Source organism: Homo sapiens, chromosome 2, assembly GCF_000001405.40.
Source record: "Homo sapiens chromosome 2, GRCh38.p14 Primary Assembly".
Classification (NCBI taxonomy): domain Eukaryota; kingdom Metazoa; phylum Chordata; class Mammalia; order Primates; family Hominidae; genus Homo; species Homo sapiens.
Window position 1 is genome coordinate 128,624,752 of NC_000002.12, and position 24,640 is coordinate 128,649,391.

At 49.4% G+C, this 24,640-nt stretch overlaps 1 long non-coding RNA gene across 2 annotated transcripts in view, besides 9 other annotated features; it reads left to right on the plus strand.

Annotated features, from left to right (window-relative positions):
- The window catches only part of LOC105373611 (uncharacterized), a 241,632-nt gene extending 222,149 nt beyond the window's left edge, over positions 1 to 19,483 (plus strand). Inside the window, exons 1-4 of one of the 2 annotated variants that reach the window (XR_001739708.2) lie at positions 5,507 to 5,612; positions 5,794 to 5,882; positions 6,111 to 6,247; positions 19,423 to 19,483. This is a non-coding gene — a long non-coding RNA (uncharacterized LOC105373611). Of the gene's footprint in view, positions 1 to 5,506; positions 5,613 to 5,793; positions 5,883 to 6,110; positions 6,248 to 19,422 lie in introns of those variants that run through there. The other variant, XR_923318.2, reaches the window with a different exon arrangement.
- Positions 11,711 to 12,260: an enhancer, noted in NCBI's record as "H3K27ac-H3K4me1 hESC enhancer chr2:129394036-129394585 (GRCh37/hg19 assembly coordinates)". NCBI's record gives its function as "activates a minimal SCP1, AML or CMV promoter by ChIP-STARR-seq in primed H9 embryonic stem cells {active_cell/tissue: H9 hESC(primed)}" and the evidence as "EXISTENCE:reporter gene assay evidence [ECO:0000049][PMID:30033119]".
- Positions 12,261 to 12,809: an enhancer, noted in NCBI's record as "H3K27ac-H3K4me1 hESC enhancer chr2:129394586-129395134 (GRCh37/hg19 assembly coordinates)". NCBI's record gives its function as "activates a minimal SCP1, AML or CMV promoter by ChIP-STARR-seq in primed H9 embryonic stem cells {active_cell/tissue: H9 hESC(primed)}" and the evidence as "EXISTENCE:reporter gene assay evidence [ECO:0000049][PMID:30033119]".
- Positions 13,360 to 13,908: an enhancer, noted in NCBI's record as "NANOG-H3K27ac-H3K4me1 hESC enhancer chr2:129395685-129396233 (GRCh37/hg19 assembly coordinates)". NCBI's record gives its function as "activates a minimal SCP1, AML or CMV promoter by ChIP-STARR-seq in primed H9 embryonic stem cells {active_cell/tissue: H9 hESC(primed)}" and the evidence as "EXISTENCE:reporter gene assay evidence [ECO:0000049][PMID:30033119]".
- Positions 13,360 to 13,918: a biological region, named in NCBI's record as "NANOG-H3K27ac-H3K4me1 hESC enhancer GRCh37_chr2:129395685-129396233".
- Positions 13,624 to 13,918: a silencer, noted in NCBI's record as "tiled region #8659; K562 Repressive non-DNase unmatched - State 22:ReprW". NCBI's record gives its function as "represses a minimal TATA promoter and a strong SV40 promoter by Sharpr-MPRA in K562 cells {active_cell/tissue: K562}" and the evidence as "EXISTENCE:reporter gene assay evidence [ECO:0000049][PMID:27701403]".
- Positions 13,909 to 14,458: an enhancer, noted in NCBI's record as "OCT4-NANOG-H3K27ac-H3K4me1 hESC enhancer chr2:129396234-129396783 (GRCh37/hg19 assembly coordinates)". NCBI's record gives its function as "activates a minimal SCP1, AML or CMV promoter by ChIP-STARR-seq in naive and primed H9 embryonic stem cells {active_cell/tissue: H9 hESC(naive and primed)}" and the evidence as "EXISTENCE:reporter gene assay evidence [ECO:0000049][PMID:30033119]".
- Positions 16,582 to 17,241: an enhancer, noted in NCBI's record as "H3K27ac-H3K4me1 hESC enhancer chr2:129398907-129399566 (GRCh37/hg19 assembly coordinates)". NCBI's record gives its function as "activates a minimal SCP1, AML or CMV promoter by ChIP-STARR-seq in primed H9 embryonic stem cells {active_cell/tissue: H9 hESC(primed)}" and the evidence as "EXISTENCE:reporter gene assay evidence [ECO:0000049][PMID:30033119]".
- Positions 19,524 to 20,025: an enhancer, noted in NCBI's record as "NANOG hESC enhancer chr2:129401849-129402350 (GRCh37/hg19 assembly coordinates)". NCBI's record gives its function as "activates a minimal SCP1, AML or CMV promoter by ChIP-STARR-seq in naive H9 embryonic stem cells {active_cell/tissue: H9 hESC(naive)}" and the evidence as "EXISTENCE:reporter gene assay evidence [ECO:0000049][PMID:30033119]".
- Positions 20,352 to 21,269: an enhancer, noted in NCBI's record as "OCT4-NANOG-H3K27ac-H3K4me1 hESC enhancer chr2:129402677-129403594 (GRCh37/hg19 assembly coordinates)". NCBI's record gives its function as "activates a minimal SCP1, AML or CMV promoter by ChIP-STARR-seq in naive and primed H9 embryonic stem cells {active_cell/tissue: H9 hESC(naive and primed)}" and the evidence as "EXISTENCE:reporter gene assay evidence [ECO:0000049][PMID:30033119]".

The following is a 24,640-nucleotide window of genomic DNA, read 5'->3' on the forward strand; positions in this document are numbered from 1 at the left end:
CGGTCTCTGGAGGTTCATTCCAGTCTCTCTGCTGAAGGAAGAAGGTACTGGTGACTTTCAAAAGTCACCTCTTCATTCCCTTGGTAGCCAGGATCCTGATGGCAGAGGTGGATATCCTGGGGCTGGCTGAGACAAGGCAGAGAAGATCAACGCATTTCAGACAAGACCTGCTTTTTGTCCCTCTGCTCTTTGGTGACAAAGAGCTGGAGCCCAGCATGGGTCCAAGGTGCGTCCTCTGATTTCTTTGTACAGGAGAACAAGGAATGAACTTCAGGTGGGGCTCTGTCGCTTGGGGGATCTTGGTCTTGTCATCACAAACAGCCCTGCCCTGGAACTATCATTGGCTGGCACTTGGGCCTGATGACTTGAGTCCAGGTTATGGAGCCCAGAATGGGCAAAGCCAGGTCGTCGTGTGCCCGGCGTGTGTGTTTGTTTGGGGCTGCTCTGGAACTTACTTGTGTAGAAGGAAGGGCAGGGAGGGAGCAGGTAGACAAAAGTGGTGCTTCACTGCCTCTGCAGCAGGCCACCAGCCTGGGTCTGACCTGGACCCAAGTCAGGCACCAGCCACCCTTGCAGACCTGTCCTTCCAAGATATCTGACACCTAAGCACCCAGGCAAATGTGAAGATGCCTCTAAAGGGAGCATTTTAGGACGACGATAGCAAAGCACTTATCACGATCTGTTCACATGACTGTCTTCTGCCCCAGCAATTTGGTTCTCAAAGGCGTCCATGTTGGGAGGCGCCAGCAAGGGACCCAGCATCCATGCCAGGAGGACACCAGCAGTGCCCTGGGCCCCTGCCAAGGGTGAGGGCCATGCCACCTTCTGGGGCTGGGACCGGAACCATCTGGAGGCCACCAGGAGAAGCTGGAAAAGACCCAGACTTCCCATGACTGGTATTTCACATGGCTGCACTTGGGGTCTCCACGGCCAGTGTCCAGCTGAACAGGCAGAGCCCATCCCCTAAATGAGCGAGGCTCCGAAGTCATGTCTGCTACATTCTGTCAATTGCAGATGAGTCTCAGCCCCACTCCTTCCAAAATACAAGAGAAGGGCCATCGTCCCCAGCTCTCCATGGAGGGGTGTCTAGGAGACACTGTTGAGGAGCAAGTGGGGGTGGGGGACAGTGTCACGGCCACCATTGGGAGATGCACCATCCAACCCTCTGCTCACAGTGCCCTCCCTACTGTCACACATTGCATCAATGATTCCCTTCTACTGCTCGGAAAATCCACAGCCCTGATGAAATCCAACTCTCCACCTGCTCTGTGCCTCTCCCAAAGCAGCTAGAAGCACCAGAGGAAGCACACGCCCCTGGCCAGTCTCACTCTCCAATCCTGTTCTTTCCTGCAGCACTCTGCTCTGTTTCCCCTCCCCAAGAGGTCAGCAGTGACCCTCCGAGCTAAGCCCCTGCAGGCTGGTCTCCCTGAGCAGAGGGGCCTCCCAGAGCACCACGTGAATCAGCTGGGGACTACGTTAAGGCCTCCTTCTGGCAGAGGTGTCGATGGTGGGGATGGTGGATCAGGATGCTGCCTTCCTCCCCTGACAGACAGCTGCCCTGTTAGGTCTGGTCTTCACTCTAGCAGCAAAGCCCTGCTGCTGCTTACATCTTTGAGAGCCTCCCTGCCCCTGTCACTGTTCCAGGAAGCTGGCCTCCTACTGCTTGTCCGTTCCCTTTGCCTAGTGGGAACCCCCACATCTCCCCCTTGCACACTGGCCCTTCATGTCCTTCATGTGAAGAGGTGGTGGCACCTGGGCATGTGTGGCAGCCAATCCCATATCTTCCACTCTTTCATCTCTCCAGTGAAAACCTCCTTCGGACATCCACTCTGCTAACCAGGGGCCCTCTGGAGCAGGCTTAGTAGTGTGTGGAGAGCTTGCAGCGGCTGTCCCTGAGGCACAGGCTCCTGGTTAGGGTATTTCCAGTGCGCCGTCCACTCCAAGAGTTTGAGTGAGGGGGGCTTCTGGCACACACCTAAATTGTGCTGTCTCTTCTCAAGTGCGTTAAAGAAAATTTCAGGCAATAGAAGATCCCAGTGCCACATCGGTGGCTGCATTTTCCCTCCAGGTTCTGAGAGACACTCCTGGGAGAGAGCCTGTGTGCACGTGTTTGTTTCCTAGCTGTGCACACAGCGGGCACCCATAGAGAGCCTTGTAACTTGGCTCCTGAGCCCTCTCTGTGGGCTGTGTCACAGGCCTGACTCAAGGGGCCTGGTCCTGACGCATCTCTCCGAGCTCCCCACGGGAGGGAGGGAGAGGAGGAGGAGGAGGGGGTCATGGGCAGTTCCTGTACTCCCCGGGTAAAAATCATTTCTTCCCAAGAATCACTGGTCTCTTCTTCTGAAGCTGACCCAACCAGCCCCTCTGGCTGACTTCGTGGATAAACAGGGATGCAGGGAGGGGATACATCACACATCGTGTGACATTTTCCATGCGAGAGAGGCTGATGACCACACCCCTATCGTAATGCCCCAGCGGATGGATCTGAAAAATCAGGGGGTTGGGCGGGGCTGCCTCCCAGCTCTGACATTCTGAACATATGGTGGGTGTGACGGCTGTGTGGGTGTGGGGAGATCTGTGTGTGTTGGGAAGCGGGCTGCAAAGCCGAGAAAGCAAACGTAGCTCTGAGAGTGGGAAGTCAAGTCTGGGCGGGGCATGCCTCCCTTCTGCTCTTCGGCCTACTGAGCAGCTCCCCTTTCCTCTGGGAACCAGCTCACCTTCTGCTTTTCCAGGGAATACGTTTGTAACTCTAATGGGGTATCCCAACATCTGCCTGGTCCATTTGACACCGTGATTTACCATAAAGGGAACTGTTTGCTGTCAGCTCCCGTGCGACAGGTACCTGAGTGCCACAGACACCTGCATAGATGAGTGAGAAGGGAGACCATCCTCTCGCAGTCCACACTCATCAAGAGCCCCCTCCTTACCCCAGACTGATTGTGCTGTAGCAGAGACAGTGATGGTATAATTCCAACCCGTGCCTTCACCTTTAGAGTCTTGATTTAGTGACACCCACGCGAATATGACAAATGGCTGGTGTGTAATTTTGGTTAGCAGCATATATGTCCCCAGAATCCAATATATTTCTTAACCTCATACAATTTAATAGAGGCCATGTGAATTTGCTTGAGACCTCATACACCTTAACTCAGCCTGTGATTTACAGCTAAACTTGGAAAACGAGCTAACGTCACATCAGAGCCACAGATCTTCAAGCATTATTTGTGTTAACGAGTTAGAAATCAAACAGCCTGCTCTTTTGGGTGTGGGAGGATTAGGCAGAGCTGCCCATTAGACCTCACTGAGCATTGTCAGTCCTTAAATGTTTGAAGAGGACATGGCCGTTGAGACAATGGCTAGAATCATAGCTCGTCCCTTGCACTCCCACTCAGTGAGGACACGCGTCCCCTTGACTCCTGTGTCAGTTTGCTTACGGATCAACCATAACCTCTCCCAAGGGCAGACTGAAAGCTCCTCCACAGGCTGTGAGGTTCTTGGGGGCAGGTTGGTCTCCTCATCTTTGTTTCCAAACCCCGGGTGTCTGGCAAGTAGGAATGGCGTGCTGAACCCTGGATATCCTGGGAAGCCTTGCTGCTTGCTGGACACTGCCAGCCCTGGAGCAGAAGTGTCAGGTGCGAGTTGTCTGATGGCCAGAATCACAAAGCAGGACTGGTTTGCATGACCATGGCAGGTGGCAGCCTTGGCCAAAGCCGAGGAGAAAGCAGCCCCCACGTGGCCCAACCTGCTGTCACCATCGCTGGGTGCTTGGGAAGAGGAGCGGGGCTGCCTGGTGCTATGAGGCTGGATCTTTTCCCTCCCTCCCTCCCTTCCTCCCTCCCTTCCTCCCTCCCTTCCTCCCTCCCTTTCTTCGGAGTTTTCCTCTTGTTGCCCAAGCTAGAGTGCAATGGCGCAATCTCAGTTCACTGCAGCCTCCACCTCCCGGATTCAAGCAATTTTCCTGCCGCAGCCTACTGAGTAGCTGGGATTACAGGCACCTGCCACCACACCTGGCTAATTTTTGTATTTTTAGTAGAGAAGGGGTTTCACCATGTTGGCCAGGCTGGTCTTGAACTCCTGACCTCAGGTGATCTGCCTACCTCAGCCTCACAAAGTGCTGGGATTACAGGCGTGAGCCACCGCACCCAGCCTTGGCTGGATTCTTTCTAGAGGCGTCTCTTTTCTTCATCTAAAACACTTCCTTAGCACAGTTTCTTTGCCTGCTTTTTTTTCATCCTGCCCAGTTTGATAGGAAGATTTTCCAGAGGCATTGGGTCTAATTCTTTGATTTGGATTGTGACAATAGCTAGCACGTGGCTGGCACTTCCTAGATGTTTAATAAATAATACTAATTATCCTAATAACAGGCCTTCTGCTTGCCACCAGCTCTGCCCTCCTCCCTCCCACACGCTGCCAGCACCTTCTGGGGCTCCTTCCACCCCCTTTGCCTTCCTTCTTCACAACTCAGTGGCCACGATCTGAACTGATTCAGACCTTGCTCAGCCTCCTGATGTGTTCCACCTCCCTACGGGGTCTTTACAACCGCCATGAACAGAAACAGCTCCCTTTCTTCCAGGATTCGTGATTCATGCTGGGTTTTTTGTAGCATTTGTAGGTGACCATAGGGACCCCAGAACAGCTTACAGGATGACCTAGAAGAAGAGCTGAGCTCATTTACTGGGGAGCTGGGATGAGTGTTTTCCGGCATGTTCAGCACAAGTGCCATCTCTGAACACCAAGCAGGCAGGAGCCCATGGAGATGAGCAGGGCCTGTCCCTGTCTCCAGGGGGCCACTGGCAGGGCAGGTAAAGCTAGCAATTAACCACAGTCCTACCACCTAGATCTGAAAAAGACACCATAAAGAGTATGTAATTAGCAAGTTCTTCGTTGATGCTGCCAAAGGGCTGATGCTGCTTAGAAACAGTATCTTCTTATTTCTCTCCTGAGGAGAAACTGTCTTCCTGGATGGAGCAATGAGAGGTCAGTGCCCAGGGTTAGTTGAGCTAGCCTTTGATTTCAAACGGTTAGGAACTTGAATAGGTAAAATTTTAATGGAAATAAGTGTAAGACTTCCAAAAATGTGACTATTATTTGAGAAATAATGCAGCTCTTGCAAATTATAGAAAGTTTTCCACATGAGCAATGCTTCTGGTGTTAATTTAAAAATGCTTATGAGAGGCTATGTGTGATGGTTTGTTTTGTGTGTTAACTTGACTGGGCCATGGGGTGCTCAGATATTTGGTGAAACGTTATTCTGCGTGCTTCCATGAAGCTGTTTTGGATGAGATGAGCGTTTAAATAGGTAGACTGGGTGAAGCAGACTGTTCTCCACAATGTAATGGCCTCCCCAATCAGGTGAAGGCCTGAACAGAACAGAAGGCTGACTGTCTCCAGAGAAAGAGGGAATTATCTTGCCTGCTGCCTTTCAAACATGGATGTTAGCTTTTTTCCTGCCTGATAACCTTTTATTTTATTTTATTTTATTTTATTTTATTTTATTTTATTTCAGCTGCCCTGGCTGGAGTGCAGTGGCGCAATCTCAGCTCACTGCAACCACCGTCTCCTGGGTTCATGCCATTCTCCAGTCTCAGCCTCCCAAGTAGTTGGAATTACAGGTATCCGCCATCACACCTGGCTAATTTTTGTATTTTAGTAGAGATGGGCTTTTACCATGTTGGACAGGCTGGTCTTGAACTCCTGACCTCAGGTGATACGCCCGCCTCAGTCTCCTAGAGTGCTGGGATTACGGGCGTGAGCTATCGTGCATGACTGATAAAGGCTCTTTCTGTTTCACAGCAGCTTCCAATCTTCAGATTCAAACTGAGACATCAGCTTTGCACATTTTGGACTTGGCCTGCCTCCATAATTGTGCAAGCCAATTCCTCGTAAGTTCCTATCTATCCATCTATCTATCCATTTACTATCCATCATCTGTCATCTATCCTATTGGTTCTTTTCTCTGGAGAACCCTAACATGGTGTAATATAATGGAAAGAGCTTTGGACTCAAATGAGACCTTCAGTTCCTCTGTTCAGCACTTGAGACACTTAGGCAAGTCATTGAGCCTCTTGAAGCATTTTTATCACCTGGAAAATGGGGGATCTATCTTACAGGGTCATCATAAGGACTGCTGCTCAGATAAACTTTAGTGGAATGCATTAATCATCACGCACAGCTGGCACAGGGCAGGCATGAAGGAGGGGAGAAGGCCTTCTCATCATCCAGTATCTGCTATGTTCCAAGGCCCGTGGTAAGTGTCAGAAATATAGGGAGTAAGGAAACCTAGACCTGCCCCTACGGAGGGCACAGACCTCTCCCTCCATGCCTTCCTCTCTACCCCCAGCAGAGGCAGCCCCACACACATACTGCATGCTCACTGTGTGCAGGGGACGGTGCCTTGCACCTCTATTGGGAGACACTTCTGGGCCATCCAATGCCCTCATTATCCACTGGCCATGCCCGTCTGCCTCACGTTTCACCTGTCTTGGGAGCTGGCTGGTGATTGGTCTACTCCTGGGGAGGCAGAAGGAAAGCTCTGCTCCTGAACACCCAGATGCTGTCCACCGGGCCTGGCCCCACCCAGCAGCATCACTGCAGGTGGGCTCCTCAGGAAGGAGAGTGGGGCAGGCCTCTCTGTGCATCTCACCACAAGCCTGAGCACCTCATTCTCGTGTGTAAAATGATCTGTGGTCTCATTGTTCCCAGGAACAAAACCAGAGTGGTAAGCAAGGCTTGTGAGGCTGTGGGGACCGAGCTTGGTGGCCCCTGCTGCCTCTCACGGTTCTGCCTCTCCACACATGGACTTCCCATGGATGTGGCGCCCCTGCTCCCCCACTTCACTAAAACCCAAACTCATTTCTTAGAAATTTAGCATTCTGTAAGGTCTCACACCCACCAAAGGGTATTCACCGTGTTTGTGTAGACTCCGCATCATAATCATGAAATACTCCTGAACTTGCTACCAGCTCCAGAGCCACAGCCAGGCCAGCCCGTCCCTTCGCTGCTTCACAGTCACCTCCACTCCTTGTGCACCCCCAGCTCTCTGATCCTGTCTCTTGGCAAACTCCCACCCAGGATATGCACCTCTCAACAGGCTGGGCTCTGCACCCCTGCAAGAATAGGGCCAAGAAAGCCTACAGCTGCACTGGCAGCCCCCAGGATAGCCCAGCCTGTGTGCCTGTTTCCCTGCATGGGTGCCCACGTTCCAGGCTACTTCCTCGCTATCTCTCTGCTCCTCAAACCACTCTCCCTATCAGAGGAGCACCCAGAGCAGCCTGTGTCGCACCTTCCACCTTCCTACAATGCCATCTGCCTGCACTCCTGCTCCTCCCGCACCTGCGCCCGGAGGGCTGTGCCTTCTCTGCTCCTTTCCATGTCTGTCCCCATCATCTCCCACCAGCGCTAGGACCTTCTCCAGCATTTCTCCCCTCTTTCTGCACCATCACGTTCTCCTGCTCTCCTTTAAAGCAAACCAACCAGCACGCAAGCAAACAGATGAAGCCACCCTCTTGGGTGCCCTTCCCAGGCCTGCTCTCTCACCCATGTCTTTGCTCCCCTTTGCAGCAACACTTCGGAGCAGCTCTGGACCTTGTTGCTGTCTCCAGCTTCCCTCTCTCATTCCTTCTTGAGCCTGTTCTATCAGGAATCCTGCCCCTCCACTCCCCCAAACCTGCTGGGATTGCAATCACCTCCAATCCAGAGGTGATGGCCTCCCTGCTGCACCCGAAGGCTCTGGGCGCTGAAATAACTTCGTTACCTGCTTGGGGGCTCTTGGCCCTCTAGTTCCTGTCCATTGGTGAGTCGCCTCCCCCTGCACTAATAGCATTTATCTTAATTATTCAGACTTGGACATCTGGTCTCTGGAAGGTCAGCTCGCGGCGCCCCCCACCCCCGGCGTTGTTCTGGCTCCCTATGGGCATCTGCATTTCCACTTAAGAATAACCCTGTGGAGTCCCACAGACATCATTGTTGGGATTGAAATGATGTTGAATCCTTAGATCAATTTGGATGAAACTGGCAGTTTTGTGTTAGGGACTCTTTCAGGCCATCTGGGACTGCTGGTTTTCTCTAGGAAAAGATCTTAAACTGCTGTTTTCATTTTTTTAGTGATGCAGGGTCTCTCTTTTGGTGTCTATTTAATTAGTTTTATTTTTCTGGGAATTTGTACATTGTTCATTTGCTTTACTGTTTTGAAAATTTCTGCTGTATCTGTAGTTCTGCCCCATTATCAATCCTCCTCTTTTTAAATGCTTGATTATGCTTGCAAGAAATTTGGCTATTTTATTTGTTCTTTCTAAGAAACAACTTTTGGCTTTTAAAAAATTGTGTGTTCTGTTTTATATTTAATTTCTATTACATTAATTTCTGCACTTGTTGCTCTTATTTCCTTTCTTCCTCTTAGAGTATATTTTTGCTATTTTTCTAACCTCTTTGGTTGGATGTTCGGCTCATTAAATTTGTAGCTATTTTTATTATTCTTTTATACAAATGGTAACATACCAAGTGTCTCCTGCTTCAACTTGCTTATTTTTAGAAGTCAGTTATTGATGTACAATTTGCAAACAGTAAAATGTATCCCTGCAGAGTGCTCACTTCACTGAGTTTTGACAAATATCAGCAGCCCGGTAAACACGACCTCACACAAGATCTAGAACACTTACATCACCCAAAAGTTTCCTCCTCATCCTTTTGCAGTCAGTGCTCTGTTTCCAGCCTACCCCTGGCAATCAGTGATCTGATTTTTTTCCCTGAATTTGGCCTTTTTCAGAGTGCAATATAAGTGTAAACTTATATATTATTTTGTGTTTGATTCATTTCATTTACAATAACGTCTATGAGATTCATCCACGTCACTGCATGTGTTCCTAGTTCATTCCTTTATACTGCTCAGTAGAATTCCATTGTTTGCCTATACCACACATATTTTTGGTTTTATTGTCTGATGGACATTTAGTTGTTCTCACTTTTTGGCTATTATGAGTAAGCTGATATGCATGCGAACATATGTTTTTCTTTCTTTTGAGTAAATCCACAGGAGAGGCATTGCTGGGATGCATGATAAGTGTGTGTTATACTTTATAAGTAGCTGCTAAACTCTTTTCTAAAGTGGCTGTACCATTTTGCACTCCCACCAGCAATGGATGAGAGTTTCAGTTGCTCCACATTCTTGCCAGTATTTGGTGTGGTCACTGTAATTTTAGCAATTCTGGGGGTGTGTAATTTTAGCAATACTTCATTATAATTTTAATTTTCTTTCCTTAATGACTAATAGTACTGTGCATTTGTATGCACTTGCCACTCACATATAGTTTTTGGTGAAGTGTCCAAAATCTTTTGTCTATATTCCATATTGAATTGTTTGTCTTCTTATTATAAAGTTATAAATGTTCTTTCAATATTTCAGGAAGGTCCTTTATCAGATACATGTTTTTAAAATGTTTTTTTTTTCCAGCTGGGCACAGTGGCTCACCCCTGTAATCCCAGAACTTTTGGGAGGCCGAGATGGGTGGATCACCTGAGGTCAGGAGTTCGAGACCAGCCTGGCCAAGATGGTGAAAGCCCGTTTCTACTAAAAATACAAAAAATAGCTGGGCATGGTGGCAGGCGCCGGTAATCCCAGCTACTTGGGAGGCTGAGGCAGGAGAATGGCTTGAACTCTGGAGGCGAAGGTTGCAGTGAGCCGAGATCGTGCCACTGCACTCCAGTGTGGGTGACAGAGTGAGATCCTGTCTCAAAAAAAGAAAATGTGTTTTTCCAAGTCTGTGGCTTGACTTTCCATTTCTTAAAACAGTGTTTTACAAAAAACAGAAGTTTTGATTTTGACGAAGTCCAGTTTATCAATTTTTTTCATTTGTAGTTTTGTGCCTTTTTTTGTCCTATTGAAACATGTTTGCCGAATCCAAGCACACATGTTTTTCTCCTATCTCTTAAGAGGTTTAGGCTTTGGTTTTACATTTAGGCTTATACTGTATTTCAGTTAGTTTTTTTGGTTTTTTGTTTTCGGGATAAGGTACAAGGGAAGGGTTGTGGTGCATTTTAAAATAAGGATGTCCTGATGTTTCTGACTCTTTGTTGGAAAGAGTGAACTTTCCCTGTTGAATTGCTTGGCATGCTGTTGAAAATTAATTGATCATATATGTGTGACTTTATCCCTGAACTCTCAATTCAATTATATTCTATCAATCTCTATGCCTGTCCTTATTCTAATACCACACTATTATGAATACTGTAGCTTTTTATTTAGTATTTACGTCTGGTGTGAGATTCCTCCAAATTTCTTCTTTTTTTCTTCCAAATTGTTTTGGCTATTCTGACATTTTTTGCTTTTCAATTTAAGTTTTAGAACCCACCTGTTAATTTACTTCTCAAAAGTCTATAGAAATTCTTAATGGGTTTGCCTTGAATTTATAGATCAGTGTGGGAAGAACTGCCATCTTAACAATGTCGAGCCTTCTAACCCATGCGTTCAATACTTCTCCACACATTTAGACCTTTTAACATTTCTGTCATCAATGCTTGAGAACTTTTAGTATACAAATTAGGCATATATTTTGTGAGATCTATTCCTAAGTGTTTGGTTTCTTTTAATGCTATGAAAACCGTATTTTAGAAAATATATATTTTGATTTCCAATTGTGTGTTGGTAGTTTGTAGACATCTGGGTGAATCGTCCCTCCACGGCGGTTGCCTCTTCACCTCCTCGGCCTCCAAAGACAGTCTCTCTGGGGTTCTTTGCAGTGGTGGACAGGAATCCAGTTCTTGTTTCTTGGAGTGGGGGCGGGAGTGGTGATTAGAACACTCTTCTGGTGTTAGTATGTGTTAGCACTTTAAAAAGTCTTTCAATATTCTCACTTGAAAGGCTTTGATGAGGCCCTGCCTGCCATGGTGAGTTGAGAAGGACATGCCAGCCCCGTGGCATTCCCCCTCCCTGCCTAGCCCCTCCCTACCCTGGATTGGCCACAGCCCCGCCTCTCACTTTGGGTCCTAGTGATTCAGAGCAGAAAGTGCCAGGGGAGAAGCAAAACAACAGCAAGGGCAGCAGTGGCCAATCCCGGGCTCAGGCCTGAAAGTGGAGTCCTTCTTTCCTTCCTTCCTTCCTCCCTCCCTCCCTTCCTTCCTTCCTTCCTTCCTTCCTTCCTTCCTTCCTTCCTTCCTTTCTTCCTTCCTTTCTTCCTTCCTTCCTTCCTTTCTTCCTTCCTTCCTTTTTCCCTCCCTCCCTCCCTCCCTTTCTTTCTTTCTTTCTTGATGAAGTCTCGCTCTGTCACCAGGTTGGAGTGCAGTGGTGCGAGCAACCTCCTCCTGCCAGGTTCAAGTGATTCTCCTGCCTCAGCCTCCCAAGTAGCTGGGACTACAGGCACATGCCACCACGCCCAGCAAATTTTTGTATTTTTAGTAGAGACGGGGTTTCACCATGTTGGCCAGGATAGTCTCGATCTCCTGACCTCATGATTCACCCACCTTGGCTTCCCAAAGTGCTGGGATTACAGGCGTGAGCCACCCCGTGCCCGGCCACGTGGAGAGCTTTCTAAAGCTTCTACAGAGAAGGAGGAGATTGGAATGTGGACTAAGATCTGAGTCAAGTTATTTTACTTGGTTTGGGACAAAAGAAAATCCTGTTTTGAGACAGATTTAAAGTGGGTTTATTACAGAGACAAAGGTTTTGTGGTGTTCTGTATTTCCTGAGATTTGCATGCAAATCCACACTTGGGGGAATAAATACTAGCCCAGAAGAGCCTCCTCATCCAAGGCGGATCTCTTTCCTGAGACTCACATTCCACCTTTTCCTTTGCCTGTTCTCTGGGTCTCAGAGACACCCTGAACGGAGCTCATGTCCAGGCCATTCCTCCTGGCTGGGATGCAGGCCTGCTGCTGCTCTCCTTGGTGAGGCCAACTCCCTCGATCCTCTCAGCCTCTACTCCACCACTCTCCTCTGGGTGGCACTGGGCCTCTCCTCATGTCGGGACCCCCTGCATCAGCACTCTGTTGAAACAGGTTGTCCACATGCCTGTCTCCCTTCTTGGAGGAAAGATTGGCCTCCAGGGGTGCCAGTGCCTCTACAGTGCTGGGCACACGTCAGCTCTGCTGTATGGAAATAGGACATTAAAGGGCCAGGAGTGTTGACACTTGGTTGGACAGGATCTCCAGACCCTGACACCTCCCCACTGCAATTGAGTGTTCCTCTGGGCCTCCAGGTGCACACTCTGACAGCTTGAGAGTTTTCAGGGACAGCCAGCTTGGGAGAGGCCAGGAGCAAGAGGGTGCTGCCAGGGAATGTGTGTAAACGGAGCACAGGATGTGACACGACAGAAGCCAGGAGGCCCTGTCCTCTTCCCAGGCTCCCAGGCTCTCTCGTGGCTGGTCTGTCTGATCCTCGCATAGCCTTGAGGAGTTGCTGGCAGTCCCATTCACAACAGGGAAATGTGAAGTTCAAGTCACACAATTACAAATGGGTTAACTGGGAATAAAACCTACATGCCGGCCAGGTGCGGTGGCTCATGCCTGTAATCCCAGCACTTTGGGAGGCCGAGAGGGGTGGATCACAAGGTCAGGAGATTGAGACCAGCCTGGCCAACATGGTGAAACCCCGTCTCTACTAAAAATACAAAAATTACCCAGGTGTGGTGGCGTGCACCTGTAGTCCCAGCTACTCAAGAGGCTGAGGCAGAAGAATCACTTGAACCAGGAGGCGGAGGTTGCAGTGAGCTGAGATCGTGCCACTGCACTCCAGCCTGGGTGACACAGTGAGACTCCATCTCAAAAAAACAAACAAACAAACACAACAAAACAAAAAAAACCCTATATCTCTGCCTCTGGTTCAGTGTTCTTCTCAGCAGAAAGCATGGGCTAGACTAGAGATGGGAGCACCAAGGCAGGAGGACAGACACAGGCTGTGATCTAGATGCAGCCTCTCCTGAGTCACTTGGCTGTGTGATCGTGGGTGAGTGACTTTGTATGAGTCCCAGTCTCCCTATCTGCAGAAGGGATGACCATGAAACCTCATAGGCTCACATAGATATTACTTGACACTTGGGCTCCGTTTAGGCACATATAGGAGCTCAGTAACATCTGTAATAGTCTGGTTGCCATGGTTAAGAAGAGACATTGCCAGTGGGAGTTGTGCTGGTGAGTGATGCCTGGAATGGTGGAAGGTTGTTGGGGTGGACTTGCTGGCCTCCACAGCTGCAGAGAGGACGTAGGGGGCATAGCGTCTCTTCAAACACACCAAGTGCTGACGTTGGGATAAGGGATCAGGTGCACTTTGCAGATGTACCTGGTATCCTTCCGAAGCGCAGAGCTTGGATCTAGTGGCTCAGGAGCACCCAAAGGGCTGGAGAGGTGGCCTCTGGTAGTGAGGATGCCACCCACATGTGTTCAAGCTGTGGCTGGATGAGCATTCACTGGGAATACTGGGGAGGGGGTTTTGGGTTTTGCAGGATGATGGAAACAGCCCGTGGAAGTCTTCCCAGACCAGGCTTTCTTTTCCATTTCTATGCCAGGCTAAATAATGGCCCCAAAGATATCCACATCCTAGTCTCTGAGAATGTGCTAGGTTGCCTGGCAAGGGAAAGTGAAGGTTGCAGATGGAATGAAGCCTGCTCATCAGCTGACCTCAAGGCAAGGAGCTTACCCTAGATTATCTCGGGGGGCCCCGTGTAATCACAAGCATCCTTGCAAGTGGAGAGAGAGGCAAGAGGTGAGAGCTGGGTGCTGCAATGCGAGAGCGGCTCCGCCAGCCATTGCCGTCTTGAAAGAGGAAGGGCCCCTGGTCTGAGAAACGTGGGTGGCCTCTGGAAGCCAGAAGGGCAGGAAACAGATTCTCCCCCAGAGCCTCCAGAAAGAAATGCGATCTTGCTGATGCCTTCCTTTTAGCCCAGTGAGGGCTGTTTTGGACTTCTCACCTCCTGCACTGTGAGATAATATATGTGGGCCGGTTAAAGCCACTGAATTCATGGTGATTTGTTACATTTGTCATAGAAAACAAATGCAGCTTCATTTCCCACAAAGTTAGAATAGAATTTTGGTTTTCATGCCTTTAAAACCCACAGCTGAGATGGGCATTTCCAGGTTTTGAGCAAACACAGATGAATGACCGTGTTACGGGAAGTGAAGCCAGGGCCCTGGTGTGGGCTGAGCAAAGCAGCCTTGCCCTGGTGGGTTTGGGCCAATTCAAAGCACCCTATCGCTAAGCTCTACACACAATTCAGTAAATAACAAACACAATCCACAGATTGGTTGTGAAGCATGGGATGATGAATAATTCATGAGCCAGCCTGGCAGCTCACAGCAGGGACCCTGGAATGTGGCTCCAGTACTGGGAACTAGGACAATAGGGCCTCAGGGCAGGATGTTTCTTTGTCCTTTAGTCCCACATTTCAGCCCCTGCACTGCCTTTGGGATGTGAAAATTGATTATACAAAATGGAGACATTTTTATCACATCTAACTAAAACAGAGTTGGGGGCCTTAGGGAAAAACACCCAGGTCACAAACGCCTACTCCCGGAACTGTCCCGCAAGGCCAGTCCAAAACCCGCATGGGCCTGCCATGACCCTAAGCTTTCAAGTTTTACTGGGAACTGCTGCCATTCTCCCTCAGGACTCGCTGGCTCCTGCAGGACACCACCCCCACTGAGGAAAGAACTTTCAGAACAGCTTTACAGAACCTTCCTCTCTTCTGCAAGGAAACCCCAGGCTTTCACTTTGTTCTTCGAACACACCTAGGGGCCACCCAAATTTGAGTCCCGAGTGGCAATTCTTGTACATTATTCCCAAATAAACTGTCTGCTTGGAGATTCACCTCTCTATATGTTATTTCATATTGACATGAACAGTGGCCTGAACATCTGCTCTGCTTGTCCTAGCAAGGGACCTGGGGCATGTCACTGGGACTCTAGGGCCTCATTTTCCTCCTAGAAAATTAGTGGGGGCTGCTGATAGCTCTTCCTCCGGTGGCATGTGTGGAGTACTCGTGTGGAGTACTGCACGAGGCGTCTGGAGTGCTCATCAGTGCTGGTCTTACCCAGCAAGGGCTGCCGAGGGGTGTGCTGGGATGCCCTCTCCAACAGATCCTGTGGGAGAACCGTCAGGATTGCACCCAACAGCCAAGTACGGATAGCCAGTGTGGGGGCAACAGATTTGGCTGTGGCTTATCCTCTGCTCTCCGCCCTTTCCTCCAGGCTTGTGCCTTGGATATTCAGGCAGGCAGAGGCCTTGTGTCTCCTGACTCCACGCCCCGTGCTGTTCTATCCACTAGGGGGTTTTCAAGTCCAAGAGTGACTCAGTTTAAGTCTTTAAAAATGAAAGGCTTCCTTGATAGAACCCGTAATACAGAAAGAGGGAGAGACAGAAAAGAGATATTCTCTCTTTCCAGAAAGTCTTGGACAGTAGGTATTGGTGTGAAAAGTCAACACATCCCATGGCCCCTCAGAGCCGTCCTTGCATGTCCATCCACATTTCCTTGCAAATCTTTGATAGGATGCAAGGCTGTGAGTGGTGAGTTTGGGCTCTGAGCCTGCCAGTTTCTCTGTGACCCAGAGACCCCAGTGCAGGGATTCCTGATGCCATGGCCCAGTCCTCCCCTGCCATGAGCAGGCAAGGTATCTCTCATGCCTAGTCGAGTGGACAGGTCACGTGCACAGCTGACCATGTACTACAGGCTGCTTCTGCTGACCAGGAAGTCAGGCTGTGCATGGAGCAGAACTTCCCTGAGATCATAGGCTCCATGTCAGAGTCAGGACCAGCCCAGAGGCCTGGGCTTCTGACCAGTGCTCTGCCAAATGATGGACAGGTTGGCCAGATTTCTGTGCTCTGAGAGCTGGTCCCAGATGTTTCCAGCATCAAGGATGTTTCTTTTACTTTCCTGGTGAACAAATGCAGCAATGTCATCACACAGAGTTCCCCATGACCCAGGATCCAGATGCCTCCTGGTGATGGAGATTCAATGCTGCTCCACTCCTTGCCATGTGTCCAGCAGTGTAGATGGCTCTGATCTGCTGACTTTTCACACCAAAACCTGCTGTCCAAGACTTTCTGGAAAGAGAGAATGTCTCTTTTCTCTTTCTCCCTCTTTTTGTATTTAACGGGTTCTATCAAGGAACACTTTGGTTTTTAAAGACTTACATTGAGTCACTGTGGGACTTGAAAACCCCCTAGTGAATGAAACAGCATGGGGCATGGAGTCAGGAGACGTGAGGCCTCTCCCTGCTTGAGCATCCACATCTGTAGGTGGCCCTGGGCCAGGCAATCGCTCTCTTTCATCTGCATACAGGGCCAGGAGGGCCTGCCTACCTCATGCATAGAATTGCTGAAGGTCTTGTGCCACTTTGGGGAAATGCCAAGTGCTGGACAGAGAGGGGAAGAGGAGAGAGACTGGTGGGTAATTAGGGCATTTGTGAGGGTGGAGACGTGGCTCGTGACAATCTGCCTTTACACAAGGCCCACTGAGTGCCTGGGGCTTTCCATACACTGCCGCCTTTAAATCTTTTACCTTCCTGTGTTTGAAGACACCTTGTTCCCACTTCTCAGATGAGACTCAGAAACAGATGGAGGTTTGCCAAGGACACACGGCAAGGGAATGGCAAAGCTGTGACTTCAAAAACAGGCTTATCTCAGGTCCAGACTCATGCTCGTGGCCTCTACCCACCTGTTAGGAATGGAATTGTTTCCACCCCAAATTTCTTTCTTAAGGCCCTAACCTCCAATGTGGTACTGGTATTTGAAGACGACAGGGGCTTTAAGGGGATGATTAAAGCCAACGAGGTCCTGGCATGGGGTCCTACTCCAGTCTGACTTGTGTCCTTATAAGGAGAGACAGAGGCACCAGGGAAGGGCGATGTGAGGACTCAGCTGGAAGGTAGCTATCTACAAGCCGGGGAGAGGCTTCTGCAGGAACCAACACCGCTGATGCCTTGGTCGCGAGCTTGCAGCCTCTCGAGCTGTGAGAAATGAAAAACAAGTGTCTGTGGTCTGAGCCAGTCAGTCTGTGACATTCTCTTACAGCAGCCTAAGTAGGCTAAGATGCTGACATTCTAGGCTGAAGGGTTGAGTGGCGAGGCTGTGTGGGCAGGCAGAGGCTGGACCAGGGGCCTTCCGATGCCGCCTGGACCCAAGGCTTGGGCTCCCTAGAGTGGGCAGAGAGTTGGAGTCCCCAGGGACTTTCCCAAGGCAGATTGACAGGTTCCCCCAGTATCTGCTGAAAGGGAATCTCTGGGGTGAGCCCTGAAGAGGCTGGGGACAATGTCAGATGGTGGCATTTGCATCTGTGTTCCATTGGGAATGATGTAGCCAGATCTGGTTTCAGAAGAATCATCCAGACTGAGTGAAGGCCTAGCCTAGGGAGTCATATGGCGAGAGGAGGGGAGGACAATCAAAGGTCCTTGTCTTCAGTCTACCAGGGCAGAGACGAGGCCAGAACTGGGAAGGCAGCAGGGGGATTGGTGAGAGGGATGTTCTGAGACAAAGTCAATAAGCTTAGAGTCAGATTTGGGTGACAAGTTCACCTCTGCCACTTAACTCTTGAGTGAGTTTACATAACTCAGATGTCAATGTTCTCAATGTAAAATGGAGTGAAAATGTCTCTTGAATGGGACCGTCATGAAGTTCATGTGAGGGAAGTGTATTTGCAGGGTGCAGCGTGGTGCCTGACATTGAGGAGCTGTTGAGTGCATGCTGGCTTAGATCACTGCTCCTGTGATCTAAGGAGCACACTGCTCCTTCAGGCCCCTTTCCTATAGAGCCCAGGCCTGACTTTGCCTGAGAACATCCCTTTCACCAATCCCCGTGCTGCCCTCCCGGTTCTGGCCTTGTCTCTGCCCTGGTGGACTGGAGACGTGGACCCTTGATTGTCCTCCCCTCCTCTAGCCTCTTAGTGCAGCATCCTGGAAAGCCACTGTTAGTCAGTCAGAAGTGGAGACATCTGCCAACCCCAGTAGCAGACCTTTCACTAGCCCAGTGTGCTGCTTCCTGGTCTCTGGTCCCAGATCCATCTGGGTCACAGGGAGCAGGAAGCCTGCAAACTAACTTGCCTTCCAGTTTAATCTTGCCAATGGGAAACCCCGGCAGGAGACTGGAAGGTGGAGAAAGAGAGAAACCATTTTATTTTCTTCCTGCCTCTTCTGCTGCCTCTTGCAGCTGTAAGAGCCTCTTGGGTTCCTCCCTAAGATGACCGATTCCAGCAGCATCTCACTCATGAACTCTGGCACAGACGGTGTCCGTGGGAGGGAAGCCCCCTTGTTGATTGCTAATTTGTGATGATGGTTCCAACAGTCACAGCAGCAGCAGCATGTGCTCCATAGCCTCAGAGGCACAGTGATCCTGGGCTCTGGGATATGCCATTTTCTCTTTTGCTTCTCCAGCTCTAGGGGTGACGACAGCTTCCCACAGTTCATAGTCTCTGCAGAACCTCAGCTTCCCCTTTCTAATTTTCCAACCTTCCAACACGTTTGTAACTGGTTCTCCATATTAAATTCCTACTGTTTGAAATACCTAGTCTCTGTTGATCTGACAGGACACTGAGTGAAGTGACCAGTACAAACCATGGGCAGAGGCTCACATGAGGCCAGGTTTGTCTCTCACTAAGGTCCGAGATTAGGGTCAGCAGGTGGCTCAGCTCCACATGCTGATTCAGAGATCCGAGTTCCTTCCACACTGTTTCTTCCCCACCTCCTTCAGCACTGTTCTCACCTGTGTGATGAAGGCTGGGTCCTAGCTCCTTCCATGCTCAAGTTTGTAGGAAGAGGACCCAGATGAAGGAACAGCCAAGCCCCAGTTGTAAACGCTTTGGTCAACAAGTGACCCCACCTCTTCTGCTCCCATTAGGGCCCACCTGAGTGCAGCGGGAGCTGAGGCATGCGGTGTAGCTCTCCAGCCATTGCCAAACTGCAGTCCTATTATTAGAGAGGATGGGAAGAATGGATTTTGGCAGAACCCACTGCCACTTCTGCCACCTGAGCTTTATGAATGCACACAACTCACTTAGGATACCTTCCTTGTAGGGTCATGGCAATGGCTGAATGAGAATAGCATAAAAAATTCTTATCCCAGTGGTGGTACCAAGGAACTTTATCTAAGATCAGTGCCCACTGTCTACACCAGGACTGACCCCCCAGTGGGTCACAGTGACTGTGAGTGAACCTGGGCTCCGGGGGAAGGACGCAGAGGTGCCTGCATCTGCTGCCTCCTGCTGACAGCCACAAGTTCAAACCTCAATGTGAGCAAGAAGGTGATGTCTCCTTTTTTCTACTTACTCATAAGCCCTGGTTAGCATCTTTTTTGCTTTATAGTTACAGGCTGCTTTCAAATTGGCATCCAGGACAGGGAAATTACACCCTGTAATGGAGCAGATGGTAGGTGAGGACAGAGGTTTTCCCCAGCCGTCACTGGTGGTTGAGCCAGATCCTAAAAAGTGTCATCTGTCATTCCTTTTAAAGGGCTTCTATTCCTGTGTGGCTGGAAACTGGGGAAACCTGGCCTCTGGACGGCTCACAGTAAGTTGTCACGTCCCAGTCCCAGGATGGCTGAGGGTGGTTGCCATGGCAGTGGACCGTGCTCCTTTCTTGCTTTCAAAGGAAGCTGGGGCTGCCCAAGTAAACGAGGGAGCCTCCGTCCTGGGAGGTTGGAGGCCTTTGTTCCTCTCCCACCCCTCTTCCCCCATCCCCCCAGAGAATGCACAGGACCTCATTATGCTGCTTCTGTCTTGCATGCTATAATTTGGATAACAAAAGCGGCTCAAGATGGATGGAAGCCATCATAGTTCTTGGCACCATGGCCCAAGGATGAACTTGCTTCTCAGGGTCTGATTGGTTATCTCACGACTAAGCTCACAATGTCAAGTTTGAGTCTACTCCTGTGGGTCGAATCGTTCTATTTGATTGGCCTCATTTTAGTGACCAGCTACCTAACTAATTAGTTAACTGGCTAACTTTCTTTCTCCCTCCTTTTCTGCCTCTTCCCCTTCTCTCCCTCCTCCACCCTTTCTCCCTCTCTGCCTTCCCCTTTCTCCCTCTCTACCTCATTTCCATCCCTCAGTTCACCCTCCCTTCCTTCCTTCCTGCCTCTCTCTCTCCTACCCTCCCCTCCTCCCTTCCTGCCCCTCTCTCTCCTACCCTCCCCTCCTCCCTTCCTCCTCCCTGTTTCTTCCTCTCTCCCCTCCCCCTCCATTCTTCTCTCCCTCCCTCCCCTTTCTCTTCTCGCCCCTCCCCTGGCTTCCCCACCTCTTCCAGCCTTGCTCTGGCCGAGGTTATGGAGATACATAAATAACACTTGAGCCTTGATCACCACCTGGAGTTGGAGCAGACACAGCAGGACACACTCATGATAAGAAGCTATAAGTGCTAGGATGGTGTTTCCCTGGCTGCTGCAAGGGCTCAAAGTGGGAAGGACCACATGTAGCTGAGATGGGGTCAGAGGTGCCCTGAGCTGAGCTAAGTCTGCATGTGCATGCCTGTCTGCAGGGGGAGCAGGGCATGCCTAAGGCATGGGGTTGGGGCAATAGGAGGTTCCAGTCAAGGAGGATATGGGATGAGGCTGGGGAGTGTGGCAGGAGAATAAATCTTGGAACCCCCAAATCACTAGCTAAAGAGAAAAATCAAGCTGGGAACTGCTTAGGGAAAACCTGATTCCCATTCTATTCAAAGTCATCCCACTGCTCACTGAGATAGACGCATATCTGATTGCCTCCTTTGGAAAGGCTAATCAGAAACTCAAAAGAATGCTGCTTGTCTTTTATCTACCTACAACCTGGAAGCCCTCTCTGCCTTTCCAATGGAACCAAAGTTCCTCTTACATATGTTGATCGATGTCTCATGTCTCCCTAAAATGTATAAAACCAAGCTGAGCCCTGCCCACGTTGGGCACCTGTCGGCAGGACCTCCTGAGGCCATGTTACAGGCGTGTGTCCTTAACCTTGGCAAAATAAATTTTCTAAATTGACTGAGACCTGTCTCAGGTATTTGAGGTTCACAGGAGTGTGGCAGATTCCAGCTCCCAGAGAGGGTCAGTGTAAGGCACTTGGGCCCTAGCCTCATGGTACCAGGGAGCCACTGAAGGGTTGTGAGCTGAGGAGGAGAGCTGCGGTCAGATCGGGTGGCCGTGTAGAAGAGGGACTTGAAGGATTGGACTAGGGGTACAGGGGCCGGTGGGACAGTCTGAAGTTCCATGGAGAGGATGACAAGGAGGGCACGGGTGGTTGGGGGCCAGCAGGGGCAAAGGGTGTCCTTGTTCCCTCTACTCATTCATCCAACAGGAAACAGAGCCTCTCAGGAGCAGTACCATTTAATCCTTCACCACCTGAGAGGAGATGAGAGCTGTTATTCCCATTTTAAAGATGAAGAAACTGAGCCTAGCAGAGACTGAGAAAAAGCAATCACACAACTAGGGAATGGCAGCATAACAACAAAAATCCAGGTAAGATTTTCCCCTCAAACCCATGGGCCGCGTGGGAATGGAATTTCCATGGTCCTGCCTCCCATTCTCAGTAAATGTCCGCTGGAGAGTTGGGGTGAGCAGACGAATGCACCCTCCACTGCCCAGAGCAAGATCGCCAAGCCCCGCGGCCTCCTGAGCCCACCTGTCAGGGCCTGCGGTGCACAGCCCGGATGCAGCTCCCCGGTCTCCCCTGGTCTCCAGCGAGCCCACACATCTCATTCTGAGGGCCCCTACTTTCAACAGTGCTTCTGGGGAGTTGTGGGCTAATTCATCAAATTTAGGAATGTCTGGCTCATTTCATTCTCTTCCCAAGGGATACCAATTCTGGGAGTTAAAACGGCCCTGGCTCTAGAAGGCCCCTGAGGAATGAGGCTACTGTGGGAATTTCAGGACTTGGGAGGGAGCTGGTGTGGGTGAGTGCGATGGGTCTTCTCCCTCACTCTTTTCTGCTTTTCCACACATTGTACTGTGCTGATGTGCTTAATGTCATGTTGAATCTTAACTCAGTCCAGAAAGGCGGGTATAACGATCCCCATTTTACAGCTGAGAAAACCAAGGCAGAGAGGTGATGTCTAGCTCAGCATCACCAGCTATTAAGCAGTGGTGCCAGGATTCAGTCCTACCTCAAAGCATCAGTGGCTGGGGTGATGCTGACCTGCCACCCACTCCTGTGCAGCCAGCACTGCAAGTTCCCATGAGGTTAGTGTCCCAGAGCACCTGCAGTCTGGAGTCCATTCCAGCACCTGGTCCTACTCCAGGACATACAACGTTATGTAGGGTTTTCTCTGTCACCTCAGATGTCAGCTCTGTGAGATCACAGCTCATGTCTGCTTCCTCCTTACTATCTCCTTCAGGGCCTAGCAACGTCTGAGCCCTACAGCAGGTGGGGATGAGGAGGGCATCCCCTGGAACAGGAGCTGCCCAGCACCACCCCAGAGGGGACAGAATTGGGAGAGTGTAAGTGTCCAAAGAGATCCACAGAATGCATGCCTTGGCTGAGTGACACTCATTGACCCTGAGGCCCTTACAGCCCCCAACCTGCAGTTCTAGGGCCCATGTTCCAAACTTGCATCCTGGGTGAGCACATCCACCCTGCCTCAGCATGGCTGTGCATATGTCCTTTCAGGGAGTAGCATATTTCCAGAGAAGCTCAACTGCAAAGGCGGTCCTGGAGTTTAAAGATGTTGAGAGCTACATGTTATGAAATTAGAGCAGAGTTTCTTTCCCATTCCCATTACCTCCTTTCGATAAATGAATCTGCACGAGAGGCTGCGATTCCTGTCAAAAAAGACTCGGCATTCATCTCAGTGTCTGGGGCTGCAGTCCAGCAGTACTGTGAGTTCCCACCCTGCCAGCCTTTTAATAACCTGACTTTAGAAATTTCCTGGTGGACATGGCCTATTGAACCCAATCTACATCCCAGGACAGACCTGGAAATTTCAAAAATCCTGTCTCTCTCATCATTTTCAAAGAGAGTGATTCGCTGAAATACTTATGTGCTCAAATCAAACCTCTCTTATTCTGCTTCTGGAGACACATCTTTGGAAATTCCCTTTGGCCAGAGACAGGTCTGGTTCTGTTGAGAGGAGCTCTTGTCCGTCCCATGCCCATCATGATGCAGAAGGGGGTGGTTCAGAGAAAGGAGGGTGCCAGATCGAGGCAGAAATCCTTCCCTTTTGAGACCCCCAACCCTGTTCTTAAGCCTGACCACCACTCCTCCATTCTCTATTTCTCTAATCTTGCTATTTCAGTGATGTTACATAAGTGGAATGATGCGGGATGTAATGTTTTGGGATTGGGTTTTTTTGCTCAGCATAAATCTGTGAAGATTGACTTGAGTTGTTTCATGTACCCATGGTTTGCTCCTTTTTATTGCTGAGTGGTATTTCATGGTATGAAAGTACTGATTTTTTTTTTTTTTTTTTTTTTTTTGAGATGAAGTTTTGCTCTGTCGCCTGGGCTGGAGTGCAGTGGCACGATCTTGGCTCACTGCAACTCCGTTTCCCGGGTTCAAGCGATTCTCCTGCTTCAGCCTCCCGAGTAGCTGGGACTACAGGCATGTGCCACCACGCCCGGCTACTTTTTTGTATTTTTAGTAGAGATGGGGTTTCACTGTGTTGGCCAGGATTGTCTTGGTTTCCTGACCTCGTGATCCTCCCGCCTTGGCCTCCCACAGTGCTGGGATTACAGGTATGAGCCAGCATGCCCAGCCTAAGGAGTACCAATTTGTTTAACCCTTTACCCACTGAAGAATATCTGGGTTGTTTCCAGTTTTTTTTTTTTAATTATGAATAAAGCTGATAAAACATTTGTGGATGGGTTTTTGTGTGAACACAAGTTTTGATTTTTCTGGGACACGAGCGTAAGTAAGCAGTGACTGGTTTGTATGGTGGCTATATGTTTAGTTGTCAAATTGTCAAATGATTGTTAACTCAAATTTCTAGAGTTCTTGTTCCATTTTACTCTCCTACCATCAATGTATGTGTGCTAGTCTCTCCACACACTCACTAGCATTTGCTGTTATCACTATTTTTTATTTTCATATAGTGATATCTCACTGTGGTTTAAGTGTACATTTTCCTTGTGGTTAGTGATGCTGAACACACTGTCATGTACTTTTTTGCCATCTCTATATCCTTTTCAGTGAAATGTTTGTTCAGATCCTTGCCCATATTCTAAATGGTAAGTTTGATTTTTTTACTGCTGAGTTTTGAGAATTCTTTATATATGTCTGGTACTAGTCCTTGTTAGACGTGTGGGTTGCAAATATTTTCTACAAGTACATAACTTGTATTTTCATCCTCTTAATAGGCTTTTTCTCAAAGCAAACATTTTTAACTTTAATAAAGTCCAATTTTTCATTTTTTTGTAGGTTATACTATATAAAGTTCTCTTTGTCTAGTCCTAGATCCCAAATACTTTCCTTTTTTTTATAGTTTAATTTTTTTTTTTTTTTTTTTGAGATGGAGACTTGCTCTGTCACCCAGGCTAGAGTGCAGTGGCACAATCTTGGCTCACTGCAACCTCTAGTGATTCTCCTTCCTCAGCCTCCCGAGTAGCTGGGATTACAGGCGTGTACCACCACGCCTGGCTAATTTTTGTATTTTTAATAGAGATGGGGTTTCACCATGTTGACCAGGCTGGTGTTGAACTCCTGACCTCAAATGATGCACCTGCCTCAGCCTCCCAAAGCGCTGGGATTACAGACGTGAGCCACTGCGC